The following is a 15,280-nucleotide window of genomic DNA, read 5'->3' as shown; positions in this document are numbered from 1 at the left end:
CAGAAAACTTTATATCCGAGGGAAGATTTAGAATGAAAATCTTTACCAGGAAAACAATGACTGATAACAATCAAGTATATATGAATTTTTGTATGTTTTTTTTAATGTTATGTTATAAATTAATTAAAAATTAGAGACAATTTCACCATGACATATCAAATTTCCTGGTTATAGTAGTCTTTTTACAAATAAAACATGAGGTTTTACCAAAATAGTGTTGGTAATTGAGTGTATCAGTTTGCAAGTGTTGCTATAACAAAATAGTGCAGCCTGGATGGCTTACAAAACAGAAATTTACTCTCCCACAGTTCTGAGGGCTAAAAGCCCAAGTTGAAGGTGCTGGCAGGATTGGTTTCTTGTGTATGTTCAACTTTCCTTTTTATAAAGACACCAGTCAGATTGGATTGAGCCTACTTTAACTGCCTCATTTTAACTTCATCACTTGTTTAAAGATCTCATCTTCAAATATAGTCAGATTCTAAGGTACAGTAAGTTAGGGCTTCAACAAATGGATTTCCAAAAGACACAATTCAGACCATTGTGCATGTGTGGGATAGGTAGTAGATTGCCGGTGGAGGAGACAAGAGCGAGTAGCCTGGACAGAGAAAAGAGCGTGTGACATGGAAAAAAAATATAGACCACATGATACTTTTTAGAAAAGTCTAATTAGTACAATTTGGAAAAATTCAATTATAAGACAGACCCAACATAACAGGATTATATTATGAGTTAGATCCATTAAGAGAGTCAACTTTTAATGAAATATTCCTCATTTCATCATTTTCTAATTTATTTAACATCCCCAAACTCCAGATGAACTCTAATTGAGTCTTTGGAGACAGAGGTACGTATTTCTGTGCTGGTGTGAGGGAGGTGTCTCAAAGGGCTGTTGAGGACATACATATATTGAGTGCAACAAAGGCACATTAAACACCAGAAGAGAGGGAAAAGTGTGACTTCCAAGAGCTGGCCTTCCAAACCAAGGGTAAGCACCTGGGATCAGGGGCAAATAGGAAGTCTGGCCTTTCTCTGACCTCAGCTGCAAATCAGAAGGGGGATACAGAATCTGGCACGGCTGTCAAACGATTTACTGCTGCACCACACATGCACACAGGTGCACGTGCAGACTCCCTAGTAAATCAAATTCCATTCAGTGATACATCCTGCTCTCACGTAGAATTTGAAACTCAGTCTTGTATCTATGCTGGGCCATCATATATTCACTCACACAGTGAAAAAATCAAGAGGACAAAAAAATGTGACTTGCTTTTTTGACCCCAGTGATTGTGCTACTCTAAACTACTAGTGTATGGCATTTTCACTTCTTGGTATTAATTTTGAGATGCCAGGAAGGCACATTCCTACCAAAGAGTTTTTCTTGCTCTAGTGAAGGGATCAGAGATCTGGGCTGCTGCAGGGGAAGATGCATCTTGATAGGCCATTTCTATAGAAGATTCTTTAGCATGATTGGCTCAGACATTTTCTGTGCCTTTTATTTCACATTCACAGATACTTGGTAACTTGTTTCAAATTAGGTCTCGGAAGTGAGACTTCTCTTTTATTTACTCTTCTTTCTTATTTTGATACAGTACACTGTGCTGGGAAAGTCCACTTGAGGATAGATCTTGTTCTGAATATTTTGAACCAGGTTAGAAATAGACTGTACTGGCTGGGCACGGTGGCCCAAGCCTGTAATCCCAGCACTTTGGGAGGCTGAGGAGGGCGGATCACGAGGTGAGGAGTTCAAGACCAGCCTGGCCAACATAGTGAAGCCCTGTCTTTACTAAAAATACAAAACATTAGCCAGGCATGGTGGTGGGTGTCTGTAATCCCAGCTACTTGGGAGGCTGAGGCAGGAGAATCACTTGAACCTGGGAGGCAGAGGTTGCTGTGAGTGGAGATTGTGCCACTGCAGTCCAGCCTGGGTGACAGTGTGAGACTCCGTCTCAAAGAAAAAAAAAAAGAAATAGAAAGTACTTTGCTAAACCAGCTTCAAGATATGAAGGTAATTAACCAATTACTCACTCTAGAAATATTTACTGAGTGCTAATTCATGACTAGGAACTGTTCTTTGTGCTGGAATACAGCAATAAACAAGACAGAGAAATATTTTGCTGTATAGATGTTGCATTCTGGTGAGAAGAAGCAGGCAATAGATTTAATAAACAGGAGTTAGAGGATGACAATAGATGAGGGGGATAACACAGTAGAATTGGAGTAGAGTAATAAGGGTGAAGATTGTCGGAAGGAAAGGGGCATGGAATTTAAAAGGGGCATGGAATTTAAAATGTCACATTCACCTTTGTCAGAATGTGACGTTTGAAAGGAACTTAAAGAAGATGAAGGAGTGAGCCATGAAAACATCTGGAGTATAGTGTTCCAGGCAGAGGGAACAGACAGTCATGCACCCTAGAACTTAAAGTATAATAATAATAATAATAATAATAATAATAATAAATCTTTGATGCTGGGACAGAGACGGCACATTTGAGAAAAAGTGAGAAAGCCATTGAGGCTAGGGCAGAAGGAAGGAGGAGGTCAGTGTGGTGAGTGTTAGGAGATAAGGTTCTTTAGGTAAGGGAGAGACAGATTACGGGTTTTAACTTGGAATAAATTGGGAGCCTTTACAGGGTTTTAAATACAGAAGCAACTTATTTATTTGTTTAATGGCCTACACTGGCTGTTGTATTGAAAATATACCATAGGGAACAAGGGTGTAGATGAGTTAGAAAGTGATGGCAATATTCTTGGCAGTAGATCATAGTGGTTTGAACAGAGTGGTAGCAGTGGAGGTGGGGAGAAGTGGTCAGATTCAGGATACATTTTGAAGGTAGGAAAATTGCAATTTTCTGAAATTTGGAAAAGTAGATAGGAAAGAAACAGGGTAGACTGATTCCAAATTTTTGACTTCAGATCCTGGAAGAGTAAAATCTTATTAACCAATATGGGGAATGAAAAAATCAATTTTTGGAACTGCAGATTAGGAATTCAACTTTAAACATGATTAGTTTTAATTACCTATTACTCCTCTCTTATTACAGCATATTAGCACCCGACCAAACTTAGTCATCTTCCATTAGTAGAATTTTTAAATCTGAAATAATAACCGGCAAACTAATAGATTTTTGGGAGTTTGTGAACCCATTAAAATTTTGCGTGTTTTTACATATGTACATATTCATATTTGAGAATTATCATTGCTGAGTTTATCAAGTTCTCAAAGAGCTTCATGAGTCAAAAAATTTGAGCCATTAATTATTTGCAGATAAAGAAATTAAGAAATGCAGTGTTTAGAAAATATGCACAACTTCATAGGATTGTATTTTTTTTTTTTTTTTTTTTTTTTTTGAGACGGAGTCTCGCTCTGTCGCCCAGGCTGGAGTGCAGTGGCGGGATCTCGGCTCACTGCAAGCTCCGCCTCCCGGGTTCACGCCATTCTCCTGCCTCAGCCTCCCAAGTAGCTGGGACTACAGGCGCCCGCCACTACGCCCGGCTAATTTTTTGTATTTTTAGTAGAGACGGGGTTTCACCGTTTTAGCCGGGATGGTCTCGATCTCCTGACCTTGTGATCCGCCCGCCTCGGCCTCCCAAAGTGCTGGGATTACAGGCGTGAGCCACCGCGCCCGGCCCATAGGATTGTATTTTAAGGACACAAGAATGTGTATGCAAATCTTGAGATGAAAAGAAGGGTGCAGTTGTCTTCAGCAAATTTTATTTCTCACTTCAACCAAGACAGTGGTAATGTCCTGTGTATCCCAAGATACGTGTGTATGTAAGGACTGTTAATCTGCTCTGCCACACTGTATTGCAACAAGTGAGGCTATCTATTGTTTCATGAAAGTTTTTCCTTCTTTTTTTTTTTTTGTTTTGAGACAGCGTATCTCTCTGTCACCCTTGCTGGAGTGCAATGGTGCAATCTCAGCTCACTGCAACCTCTGCCTCCTGGGTTCAAGCGATTCTCCTGCCTCAGCCTCCCAAGTAGCTGGGATTACAGCCGTGTACCACCACGCCTGGCTGATTTTTAGTAGAGACAGGATTTTGCTATGTTGGTCAGGCTGGTTCTGAACTCCTGGCCTTGAGTGATCCTCCTGCCTCAGCCTCCTAAAGTGCTGGGATTACAGGTGTGAGCCACCGCACCTGGCACGTAACAATTTCTATAAGAGATTTTAGCAAATTGGAATCATGGAAGTTTGGTGCTGAGAATAGGATCAACCAAAATTTTCAGATGGGTGAATTGTGTTCCTGAGATGAGGTATTACTTTCCTAAATCATACAGTGATTAGTGTCAGGGATATGTACCAAATATTGGACCCCACAATCCTAAACCCTATAACTCCTTTGCCAAGTTACATGGAAATAGTTGACAAAAATATTAAATTCTAGGATTTTAGCAAGATACTGGACGATACCACTATTCTGGCTGAAATTGCTTATTTGTATAAACTTAGTCTATTTATTTATGTTTTGCAAGCTCAGAATTTATAATTAAGTTAGATAATTATCCTCCCATTCAGAATAATGATAGTTAAAATTTTGTAGATTGATGTTCTGTCCAGAAAATGGGCTGTTTTCTTAACATGGATGTTTTCTCGCCCTTTTGGAGGTAAATACACGTAGGTGGGGAATTGTTAAGATACTTTTCCAAGATTATGGAACTACCAAGTAAGAAGGTCTGGGTTTGAACTCAGATGCCATATCACTTGGGCAATTCTGCCTATGCCAGACCTGTCTTTTCTCACCTGGGCGTGCTCATGTCTGTGGGTAGCTCTTAGCGCCACTGTAGGCTGGATCATATAGAAGGGCCCCACCTGCATGTTTGGGGGACAACTTGCAGTCAGCTGGGGTGACAGAGTGAGCGCAGCCAGATGTCTTATCCAGCAAACTAACCCAGGCTTATTTACATGGTGGTGGTAGGATTTTAAAAGTGAGAAGAGAAACATAAAAAGCTTCTTGAAATCCAGGCTTTGAATCCACATGGAGCTGCCTATCTTTCAATCTATTGGCCAAAGCAAACCACCAAGCCATCCAAGACTCAAGGGGTTAGGTATAAGACTTAGAATAGTAACTGGTACATGGTCATAATGTATTTATATTTGTAATATAAATAGCAACTTTAATAATCTAATACTTAACAATACAAATACTTGACACGTAAGAAGTTTTCAATAACTTATAGAAAGATAGTGAAATTTTTTGAGTGCCCACTAATGTACCCAATATTGGGCTGTGTTATTTTTATGTATGTTTTATTTATTCAATCAGACAGTCTGTCAAGAAGTTACTAGTCGGCCAGGTGCGATGGCTCACGCCTGTAATCCCAGCACTTTGGGAGGCTGAGGCGGGTGGATCACCTAAGGTCAGGAGTTTGAGACGAGCATGGCCAACATGGTAAAACACCATTTTTAGTAGAGTTGGTGTGGTGGTAGGTGCCCGTAATCCCAGCTACTCAGGAGGCTGAGGCAGGAGAATTGCTTGAACCTAGGAGGCAGAAGTTGCAGTGAATGGAGATCACGCCACTGTATTCCAGCATGGGTGACAGAGTGAGATTCCATCTCAAAAAAAAAAGAAGAAGTAATTAGTTATCCTTGTGAGTTTCATTTTTTTTTCATGTTTGATGAGAATATGGGTCTTGTCCTGCATTAAATAGTTAATAAATAAAATTCCTAATTTTCAAATTATTTTTGACTCCAATTCCAGTAATTTTTCCAAATCATGGACTGAAGTCCTATAATTCTAGATAGTAAGGGAGAAAAATCTACAAGCTTCTTAGTAATTGTTGATTTAATTGATACCCTTGTCAACTTGTGTGAATAGAAAAAACACTAAGTGATGATTTTCCCTTCTCATGATAGTCAGGCTTTCACCTCCGTGGACATGGAAGTGGGAAATTGCACCATCCTGACTGAATTCATCTTGTTGGGTTTCTCAGCAGATTCCCAGTGGCAGCCGATTCTATTTGGAGTGTTTCTGATGCTCTATTTGATAACCTTGTCAGGAAACATGACCTTGGTTATCTTAATCCGAACTGATTCCCACTTGCATACACCTATGTACTTTTTCATTGGCAATCTGTCTTTTTTGGATTTCTGGTATACCTCTGTGTATACCCCCAAAATCCTGGCCAGTTGTGTCTCAGAAGATAAGCGCATTTCCTTGGCTGGATGTGGGGCTCAGCTGTTTTTTTCCTGTGTTGTAGCCTACACTGAATGCTATCTCCTGGCAGCCATGGCATATGACCGCCATGCAGCAATTTGTAACCCATTGCTTTATTCAGGTACCATGTCCACCGCCCTCTGTACTGGGCTTGTTGCTGGCTCCTACATAGGAGGATTTTTGAATGCCATAGCCCATACTGCCAATACATTCCGCCTGCATTTTTGTGGTAAAAATATCATTGACCACTTTTTCTGTGATGCACCACCATTGGTAAAAATGTCCTGTACAAACACCAGGGTCTACGAAAAAGTCCTGCTTGGTGTGGTGGGCTTCACAGTACTCTCCAGCATTCTTGCTATCCTGATTTCCTATGTCAACATCCTCCTGGCTATCCTGAGAATCCACTCAGCTTCAGGAAGACACAAGGCATTCTCCACCTGTGCTTCCCACCTCATCTCAGTCATGCTCTTCTATGGATCATTGTTGTTTATGTATTCAAGGCCTAGTTCCACCTACTCCCTAGAGAGGGACAAAGTAGCTGCTCTGTTCTACACCGTGATCAACCCACTGCTCAACCCTCTCATCTATAGCCTGAGAAACAAAGATATCAAAGAGGCCTTCAGGAAAGCAACACAGACTATACAACCACAAACATGAAGGTTATTCTCTTTGCAAATGCTGTTATTGAATTTTCCAGATTATTGGCTTATAAATGTGTTCATTTGCATTTCTGTAGTTCAATTAAGTTCAATAAGTCATATTTAAAACATTAAAATATTGACCACATGACTCCTTGTTATTCGTTTGTTATGATGTAAACAAAACAAAGTAATATTTAAAACTTATAATATTGGGTTGTTTGGCATTCTGCAATATGGTATTTTGCCTTGGCAGCATTAAATCTTTCATAGATTTCATTGTGTTTGCTCCCTTTGGGAGATCTTGGGGAACAAAATAAATTACGTGGGTTAATGAATATAGTTTGACTTTGAAGTTTGGTAAGCAATCTTTACTAGGTGACAAGAATATCTGAAAGGGTGAGGCTTCTGGAAATATGCTCAAGATTTTACAAATATTTATTTTAAGAAAATCATTTCCTCAAAATTTCTTCAGAAAGCTCTAATTGAGCATATAGGGAGTATCTTTGTAAAACTCATGCCTTCTACATAAAGAGAATATTAGGAAGATGTTTAAGAGTTGTTCAGATTACAAACAACAATGACAACAAAAAACTATCTCAAAATTAATGAATAAATATGTGTCTTTAGAATTGCATATCATCCTAACAGTCTTCTCTCTTACAAGGAGTGAGTACTCCGCAGTACTCTCTCTCAGGTCACACAGCGATGTGACAACATCAAACGAAATAAAACAAATGAACAACAATAGTAACCACTGTTCCCTAGTTACCTTTCTCTTTCCTTTGTCCTGACCAAAAGACATAAGCTGCATGTTTGTCCCTGGCCTGAACCTAGCCTGGGCCTTGAACATTCCTAAGAACTGGTAAACTTGTTTAGATCGATGCCTGAAACCCTGAAAAATCAAACATGTTGCTAACCACATGGAAACTAGCCTTGGCCTCGAGCCCAATTCCCTAAACCCTGATATAAACTCCATAACTGAACCCCCTTGTGATGGCAGGTTGGGTTGATATTTCATTTAGTAGCCTTTAGAAGATGGCAAGTTAAGGATTAATGGTTACAATTTTCAAATCACAAGCTTGCAGCTCAGAGGTTAGCAACTTTGTTGAGGAAAGGTTATAACATTTGCTGGAATTAGCACATTTAAAAAATTAATTAAATTTTGAAAATTTAGGACAAATAGTTGTAGCCATTTCATTTGTCTTTACTTGACATTTCTCAACTTTCTCTTCAGCTGCATTTATTTTCCAACACATCCTACCTCTTTCCATCAAAATAATCTTAACATTCTTATTCCTCTATCACAAAGGAAGCTGTTTGAGTACTTGACTAGAAGGATTTGGGGTGTATCCCGCAAATATCAATGATCCATATTATGTTTTCTTTTCATCTCCATAATAGTCACTATGTAGGAAAAATAATTGGGTCAATATTATGGGAAAGAACATCGTAAAAATTTAATTTCACTTTAGGATATCAGAATAATTACTTTTCCATTTTGCATTAATCGGAGATACTGAATTTTAAAAACTGTATCAGTATTCAATTGAATCTACAATACTGTAGTATATATTATAGTCTGATCTCAAAATCATAACAAACAAACGAAACACAAAGAAACACAATTTTTCTTGTTGAATTTTGTTCAATGGTAAAAAAGAAATAAAAATCCAGTTCTGTAACCTCTCTGAGCAGTTTGTCATCACTTAGCATTGATTTGAGAACATTATGGCAATTCAGACTTTGGATTATGCTGACTTGAAGAATTTTTTCAGAGCGTCTTTCATGTCTTTATTCCTCAGACTGTAGATCATGGGATTCAACATGGGGAACAGCATAGTATAAAAGGTAGAAACCATTTTGTCCCTCTTGAGGGAGTAGCTGGAACTTGGCCGGGAGTAGTTGTAGAGAATGGAGCCATAGTATAAGGTAACGGAGATCAGGTGGGAGGAGCATGTGGAGAAGACTTTGATGCGGCCCTGGGTAGAGTGGATCCTCAGGATGGTGGTGATGATGGAGAGGTAAGAGGCAAGGATGAGCACAGTAGGGGAGATGACATTGGAGGCCAGAAGGAAGTGCAGCACAGCCTGGTAGCTCTCACACTGCATGCCAGCTTCACGAGGGGTGGGACATCACAGAAAAAGTCATCAATGACATTGTCACCACAAAAATCCAATGTGAATGTGTTGCTGGTTAATATTATTGCATTGACAAAACCCCCAGTATAGGAATATAAAACCAAACAGATGCACAATCTCCTTGGCATGGTCTGAGCATAAAGCAGGGGCTTGGAGATGGCCACGTAGTGGTCATAAGCCATGGCAGCCAGTAGGTAGCACTCACTATAGGCCAGCCTGGCAGAGAAGAACTGACACAGGCAGCCAGCAAAGGAGATGCTTTTGTCTTCAGAGATGCAGGTCACTAGGATCTTTGGGGTGTAGACAGAAGAATACCAGAGATCCAGAAATGACAGATTTCCAATGACAAAATACATGGGTGTGTGTAGGTGGGAGTCATTACAGATCAACACGATGAGGGTGCTACTTCCTACCACAGTCAGACAGTACACACCCAGGAACACCACAAAGAGGCCCAGTTGCATCCCTGGATCTGTGGTGAAGCCCAGCAGGATGAACTCAGTCACTGTGTGATTGCTCCTCTGCATGGCTTATGGATACCACGCCTACAAATAGAGTAGAAAAGAGTTTAATTGCCTCAACCGATACCAAATGATGGCATTTTCTATGCTAAGCACCTGACATATAATCAACACTAAGCATAAATTTTGGCTGCCTTGGGCAGGTGATGGGAGTTTTCTGAGCTTCAATATATTTATTGCAATAAAATGCATTTGATAACAGAAAAGCCTTAATTGAAATGTTTATTAATTTTTTCTTGAAAAACAAAATATTTATTGAGCCCTGTGTGCTATTCCAGACAGTGGGATATAGCGGTGAAGATGATAGGGCTGACTCCTATCCTACTGAGCTTTTATTCTAGAAGGGAGAGTTACATAAAAAAACAAATAGGTACAGTGTCAATTAATGTTAAATGCTAATAACAAAATAAAACTAGATGATGGGATAAAAACAAACTAGGAAAGAGCTCAACTAATGTAGACACTGAGAGAAAAAAAAAATCCTTTTCCTGTTCCCAGCTATGGATGGACAAATTATTCAGAGCCTATGAAAACTGGGAAGGACCCTATGGTTTAGAAGGTGGTAACACTGTATTTTTCCACAACCACAGAAAAAATTATCTGCTTAGTTACTCTGTAGGAGTCTTTGGTACATTTATCATAAATTCCAGGGAAGGAATCAGGTTGAGAATTAGTGCGAAGCTCAGGTAAAGACCAATGAATTTATCTGTTTCTGCCAAGTAAAAAATGTGTGATGTTTTTATGGGTATTTGGGGTATAAAATGTTGAGACTCAGCATTATCTCTCAGCCTCTATAACTAGCCATGAACATAGTACTTAAAAGGACAGTTAGCCCAAGTCGATATTGTCTATAGCAATAGTTCTGAATGCTATCACATTGGAAAAATCTTCTTGTCAAACAAACATTTAGAAATGCTTCCTTTAGATTCTTGAAATAATATGTGTAGTTAATGTAACCTAAGTATAAACATGTATATATGTGTATGTAAACTATCCTAAGTCTAATGTAAAAGAGATATGAAAGAAAAATAATTCATAATACAATTATTATATGAAATAATTATAATATAGGATTTATTATAAAATAATTTGAATATTCAATATATAAATGCTGGATCACTTGGTGGGACATAGATAGTAAAATCAACACACGTAGAATCATCATTAATGTGTTGGTGACTCAAATATCAGGAGTCACATTGACATTGGTGATGTTTTCCTGACAAGTTGGTCAAGTCTTGATGAAGTTTCAAACAAAATAAATGACAATCTTTCCTTGGTTTTATTAAATTGTTATATAGGAGAACCTTGCAAAATATGTTTTCTTTGTCTGTAGAGCAGAGTAGATTTCAAACTGATGTAATTATAACAATATTTTCTAATGCACAAATACGCATTGGGAGTCTGGATGTAGTGAGTGCAACATTTTTCTTTGCATAAGGCTGTCCCTATGGATGCAGGATGTGTTCATACTTGTCTACTAAATACTAAATATCCAGTAGTCCTCTTATCTTTGTGATAATAATAAATCCAACCACACACTTAAGAAATGCCCTTCAATGATAGACTGGATAAAGCAAATGTGACACATATACACCATGGAATACTATGTATCCATAAAAAAGAATGAGCTCATGTTCTTTGCAGGGACATGGATGAAGCTGGAAGCCATCATTGTTGGTAGACTAACACAGGAAGAGAAAATCAAACACCACATGTTCTCACTCATAAGTGGGAGTTGAACAACGAGAACACATGGACACAGAAAGGGGAACATCACACACTGGGGCCTGTTGGGGGTTGGAGGGCAAGGGGAGGGAGAGCATTAGGACAAATACCTAATGCATGTGGGGCTTAAAACCTAGATGACGGGTTGATAGGTGCAGCAAACCACCACGGCACATGTATTCCTAGGTAAGACAAACCTGCACGTTCTGCACATGTATCCCAGAACTTAAAGTAAAATAAAGAAAAAAAAAGAAAGGAAAAGAAAACCCAGCAGCTATAAGCACACACAAAACACAAGTTTTGGTAACTAAATACCATTTTTCCACTGGAAGGACCCAGAACTCCTTGAAACTCCCAAGTTTTGGTCAAGGATTGCATAAGATGAGTCTGGGACATCTTGTGGCAGAAACTAAGAAAATATTCAAAAATTATAGGGACATGTTTAAATGACCCAGAAGCTAGCTTGAAGAAGTTTCCACTGGGTGCATTTTAGACAATTTCATATTAAAAGTATAATGACCATAATTGAATAAAACATATTGAATATAAAATAAAGAAAGAACCACTCTTTAAAGGATGTTTTCATTTATTGAGACTCCACTACTTCAAAACTTTGCATTTTACTTTATGCATCTTCATAGGCTTTTCCAGGAATTGTGTAAAGAAATGCAAAATAACTGGAAAATGTTGCTAAATGGTCAAATTACCTGTGGCAGTACGTACAGCTCTCTATTTACTTTTTTTTACTGGGTCACTGGGGTAAAGCGGAGATAGAAGCCCATAGTGTAGAGCAAGGATTTTTGTTTCTGTTGCATGTTACATATCTCCACTTCTTAGAATAGTACCTGGCACATAATAGATGTACAATAAATATTTATGGAATAAACAAATGGGTAACCCCGACTCAGAAGACAAACAAGTCAAGAGAATTGATATTCTGGGTGTCCTCTAATGATGTCATTATACCCTAAAACCACTACAGAATTGTTTGGTATTCCACATTCATTTCCCAGCACCAGCAATCCCAGGTCATTTGTGTATTTTGCAGACAGATGCAGGGACAAACAAAGAAATCAGTCCACAATATAGTCAGCCTAAACAAATATTTGTTTTCCCAAAAGGAGTGTCTGTGAAGAAATTGTTTTTCATCTGAGCAACAGATTGCCTGTCATTATATGTCATGACGTTTAGGAAGCATGCCTAAGAAATCAGAGCTGACTGCTCACACTAGAGACAGATGGGATATCCTTGAAAAAGCATTTGTCTTTCAACAACTAAGAAGGATTCAAGTTCTCCATCACTAGTCAACAATGTAAAGCCTCAATTTCTTCATATGTAACATAGGGATAATTCATCTCTTTTTAGGGTTGTTTAAAGGAGTTTACTCAAGTAAGGACTACATACAGTGCCTAGCATGTTATAAACACTCAAGTAACAAATTGTTCTCAAATTCTTTGCACCTAAGAGCGCCCCAGTGTTTCTAACTTAGGAGGTTGCAGGTCAGCCCCCAGGAATCTGCTTTCATTAAAGCAGCCCAAGCGCTTGTAATGTGGGTTGTTTGTAGATTATGTTGAGAAATACTAAAATGAATATCGGTTGCATTTATAAAAGTTTCCGGAATCAAAATGAAGTCACTAGTGTTAAATAAAAACAAGTGACAAATATGGCTGGGCATGGTGGTTCATGCCTTTAATCCCAGAACTTTGGGAGGCTGAGGCAGGAGGGTCTCTGCAGCCCAGGAGTTCATAAACAGTGTGGGCAACACGGTGGGACCATGTCTCTATAATTAATAAATACATACATACATAAAAAATAATTTAAAAAGAGCCAGCGGAGGGAATTAAGAGAGGTTTCTCATGCTTGTATTCCTGATAAAACTATCATAAAAGACTGCAAAAACTACACCTTGCACAAAGGTCATCACAACTTTACAGAAAAAGAGTACTTCTGCAAGGACACCTGCCCAGAAACTGCCTGTCCAGCCAAGCATCGACCGTGCCATGGACCGCCTGCTACTCCTGGGTGCTGGAGAATCTGGTAAAGGCACCAATGTGAAGCAGATGAGGATCCTACATGTTAATGGGTTTAATGGAGAGGACACTGAAGAGGACCTGCAGGCTGCAAGGAGCAACAGAGATGGAATATATTACCCCTGGATGATGGCTACAGTTTCTCATCTTCCTGGCTATGTCCTCTCACAATTCGCATGCTGGAATTGCTAGGTCTTAGGAACTCCTAGTAAGAATACTATTCTGTTGTCTGGAAGGGAGCGGGGATGGGGCTCCTACTTCCTGACCTTGAATTATGATTGAAAAAAATAATAAAAAATGGACTGAAATCCTTAATTGGTAAAAATGTAGTATGACAATTATCCAAAAAATCATCTATATAAGAAATGACTAATTGACAAGCTAAGGTACCAAAAGTTGGCATTTGAGCAAAATATGACAAGTCCTTAGTGAGCAACCTACTGTGTACTAAATGTTGTGCGAAACCCTTGAACCCCACTAATACCTTGCCTGCATATCTCTCTGTGACTCTGTTCTGCAAGTAAATATAAGTATTAACATTTGTGATAAATAAAAATTCTCTGCATGTTTCAGCAAAACCAACAAACAACAAAACAACAACAACAACAACAAAAAACAGGTATCACCCTTGTCATCAATCTATGTAGCCAAAGATTATTATTTCAAAATAATCACATAATTCTCATTTTTAAAAAAATCTTTGTCTTCCATTACCTCCCCGAATATGCATACGGTTTACTGTGGCATTTGTATTCCCACAGCAACACTCTATTCTCAGATAAACCTATTTTTCTTTTAGATAGCCTCTCTGTGTTTGTTATTTAGGTTGACATATATGGTGTCACAAATAGAACCCGAAAAAGATAATGATCCAAAGAAACTGGTGATTCTTGAACTGATGTGCAGTGCTCACTTGAGGCCCTTGTGCTTTCCTCCACTTCCTTGGCTCACTTTTCTGCCCTGATGAGTCTTCTCTTAGGCTGAGCCTGCCTCTTTTAGTAGAGGCTTTTTTATATTAGTCAGGATCTTTTTTTTTTTTATAAAGTCACCTAATAAGGGACTATGCATCCCTCCTGGGGTGATAAAATACTTTTTGTCTTTTGTGGTATATCTTTTCTGGTGTAAAGACATGTGTCTTTCTGGATTGAGTACTCTGGTTCTACAGAATTTACATTCTATCTAGAAGGCATGTCTTTTGCGGTGAATTCACTTTTGGTCTCTGTGCTTAGTTGAATATTTTGTTTGATCTCTACGCCGAGGTTGAAATTTTTATGAATGCTCTTATCTTGGTTTCTTTTGATTTGGTTTGATTCTTTTCCCTTGCTTTTTAAAAAATTATTCTGAAAGCAAAAATATATTCCAAATGTTGGGTGCAGAAAGGTTAATTAAAAGCCATTAGTGCAATTGCTACCATCTAAAACACTGCTCTAAACTCCTGACATTTCCTGATAGGAATGATAATATTTTCTTTGCTCTCAAGAGATGAGTAAGAAACAGAATGGGTTTTTTAAACATAAAGGCATGACAGGTTTTTGGGACTCCAGCTAGCCACATTTTATGGCTCATGCTTATGCACATTTTAAAATTGACAAGCAATGTTACATCAAGAAAAATTCAGAGCTCAAATGTTCATTATTTAAACTCTTTTAGAGATCTGCAACTACCATGCTAAGCATGTAGAGACTTCTAAGTTCACTGTCTCTCTTTCTTGTTTTTTCTTACTGCCTACTTTGAATCTGCTGACTTTTCTACTGGGGTTGACATAAAACTCACCGCTTGTGGCATTCTAGTCAAGACTTTTTTAAAAGTATTAAAGGGCTTTTAAATTAATAGCTTCACAAATTACAAGAGCTCCATGGTAACCAACAACCTAGACACCATTAGAAAATGTAAATTTAGGTTTACCTGACTAAAATTTGTTTATGGTGATGAAATAATTTATTGAAAAATTAATAATCTATAAAAAGAGCTAGATAAATATGTATAAATGTTAGGCTCTCAGGTCTAACAGGTCAAAATCTTGAACTCTAAACAATATAAATCATCTTTGTCTGGCATAAAAAATT

The 15,280-nt window shown here is 38.4% G+C and overlaps 1 protein-coding gene, 1 non-coding gene and 1 pseudogene across 3 annotated transcripts; 1 reads left to right on the top strand and 2 right to left on the bottom strand.

The window, feature by feature from the left end:
• The first annotated feature begins 943 nt into the window (after positions 1-943).
• On the top strand, positions 944-8,418 carry OR9G4 (olfactory receptor family 9 subfamily G member 4). Of its 2 annotated transcripts, none has more exons than NM_001390832.1 (2): positions 944-985; positions 5,857-8,418. In NM_001390832.1, the coding sequence occupies exon 2, from the start codon at positions 5,875-5,877 to the stop codon at positions 6,811-6,813; it is 939 nt and encodes a 312-aa protein (NP_001377761.1). In that variant the 5' UTR covers positions 944-985; positions 5,857-5,874; the 3' UTR covers positions 6,814-8,418. The 2 variants fall into 2 exon arrangements, with proteins under 2 accessions (NP_001377761.1, NP_001005284.2); NM_001005284.2 differs by having other exon boundaries at positions 5,853-8,418.
• On the bottom strand, positions 5,660-5,768 carry MIR6128 (microRNA 6128). The gene has a single exon (NR_106743.1). It is a non-coding gene; the product is annotated as a microRNA 6128 (primary transcript).
• OR9G3P (olfactory receptor family 9 subfamily G member 3 pseudogene) lies at positions 8,548-9,461 on the bottom strand (annotated as a pseudogene).

Source organism: Homo sapiens, chromosome 11, assembly GCF_000001405.40.
Source record: "Homo sapiens chromosome 11, GRCh38.p14 Primary Assembly".
Taxonomy (NCBI): domain Eukaryota; kingdom Metazoa; phylum Chordata; class Mammalia; order Primates; family Hominidae; genus Homo; species Homo sapiens.
Note: the sequence above shows the minus strand (reverse complement) of the source record. Positions and strands in the feature narration are given on the sequence as shown.

Bases quoted from the DNA above. Each gene is read 5' to 3' on its own strand.
- OR9G4 (NM_001390832.1), top strand. From the start codon at position 5,875: ATGGAAGTGGGAAATTGCACCATCCTGACTGAATTCATCTTGTTGGGT.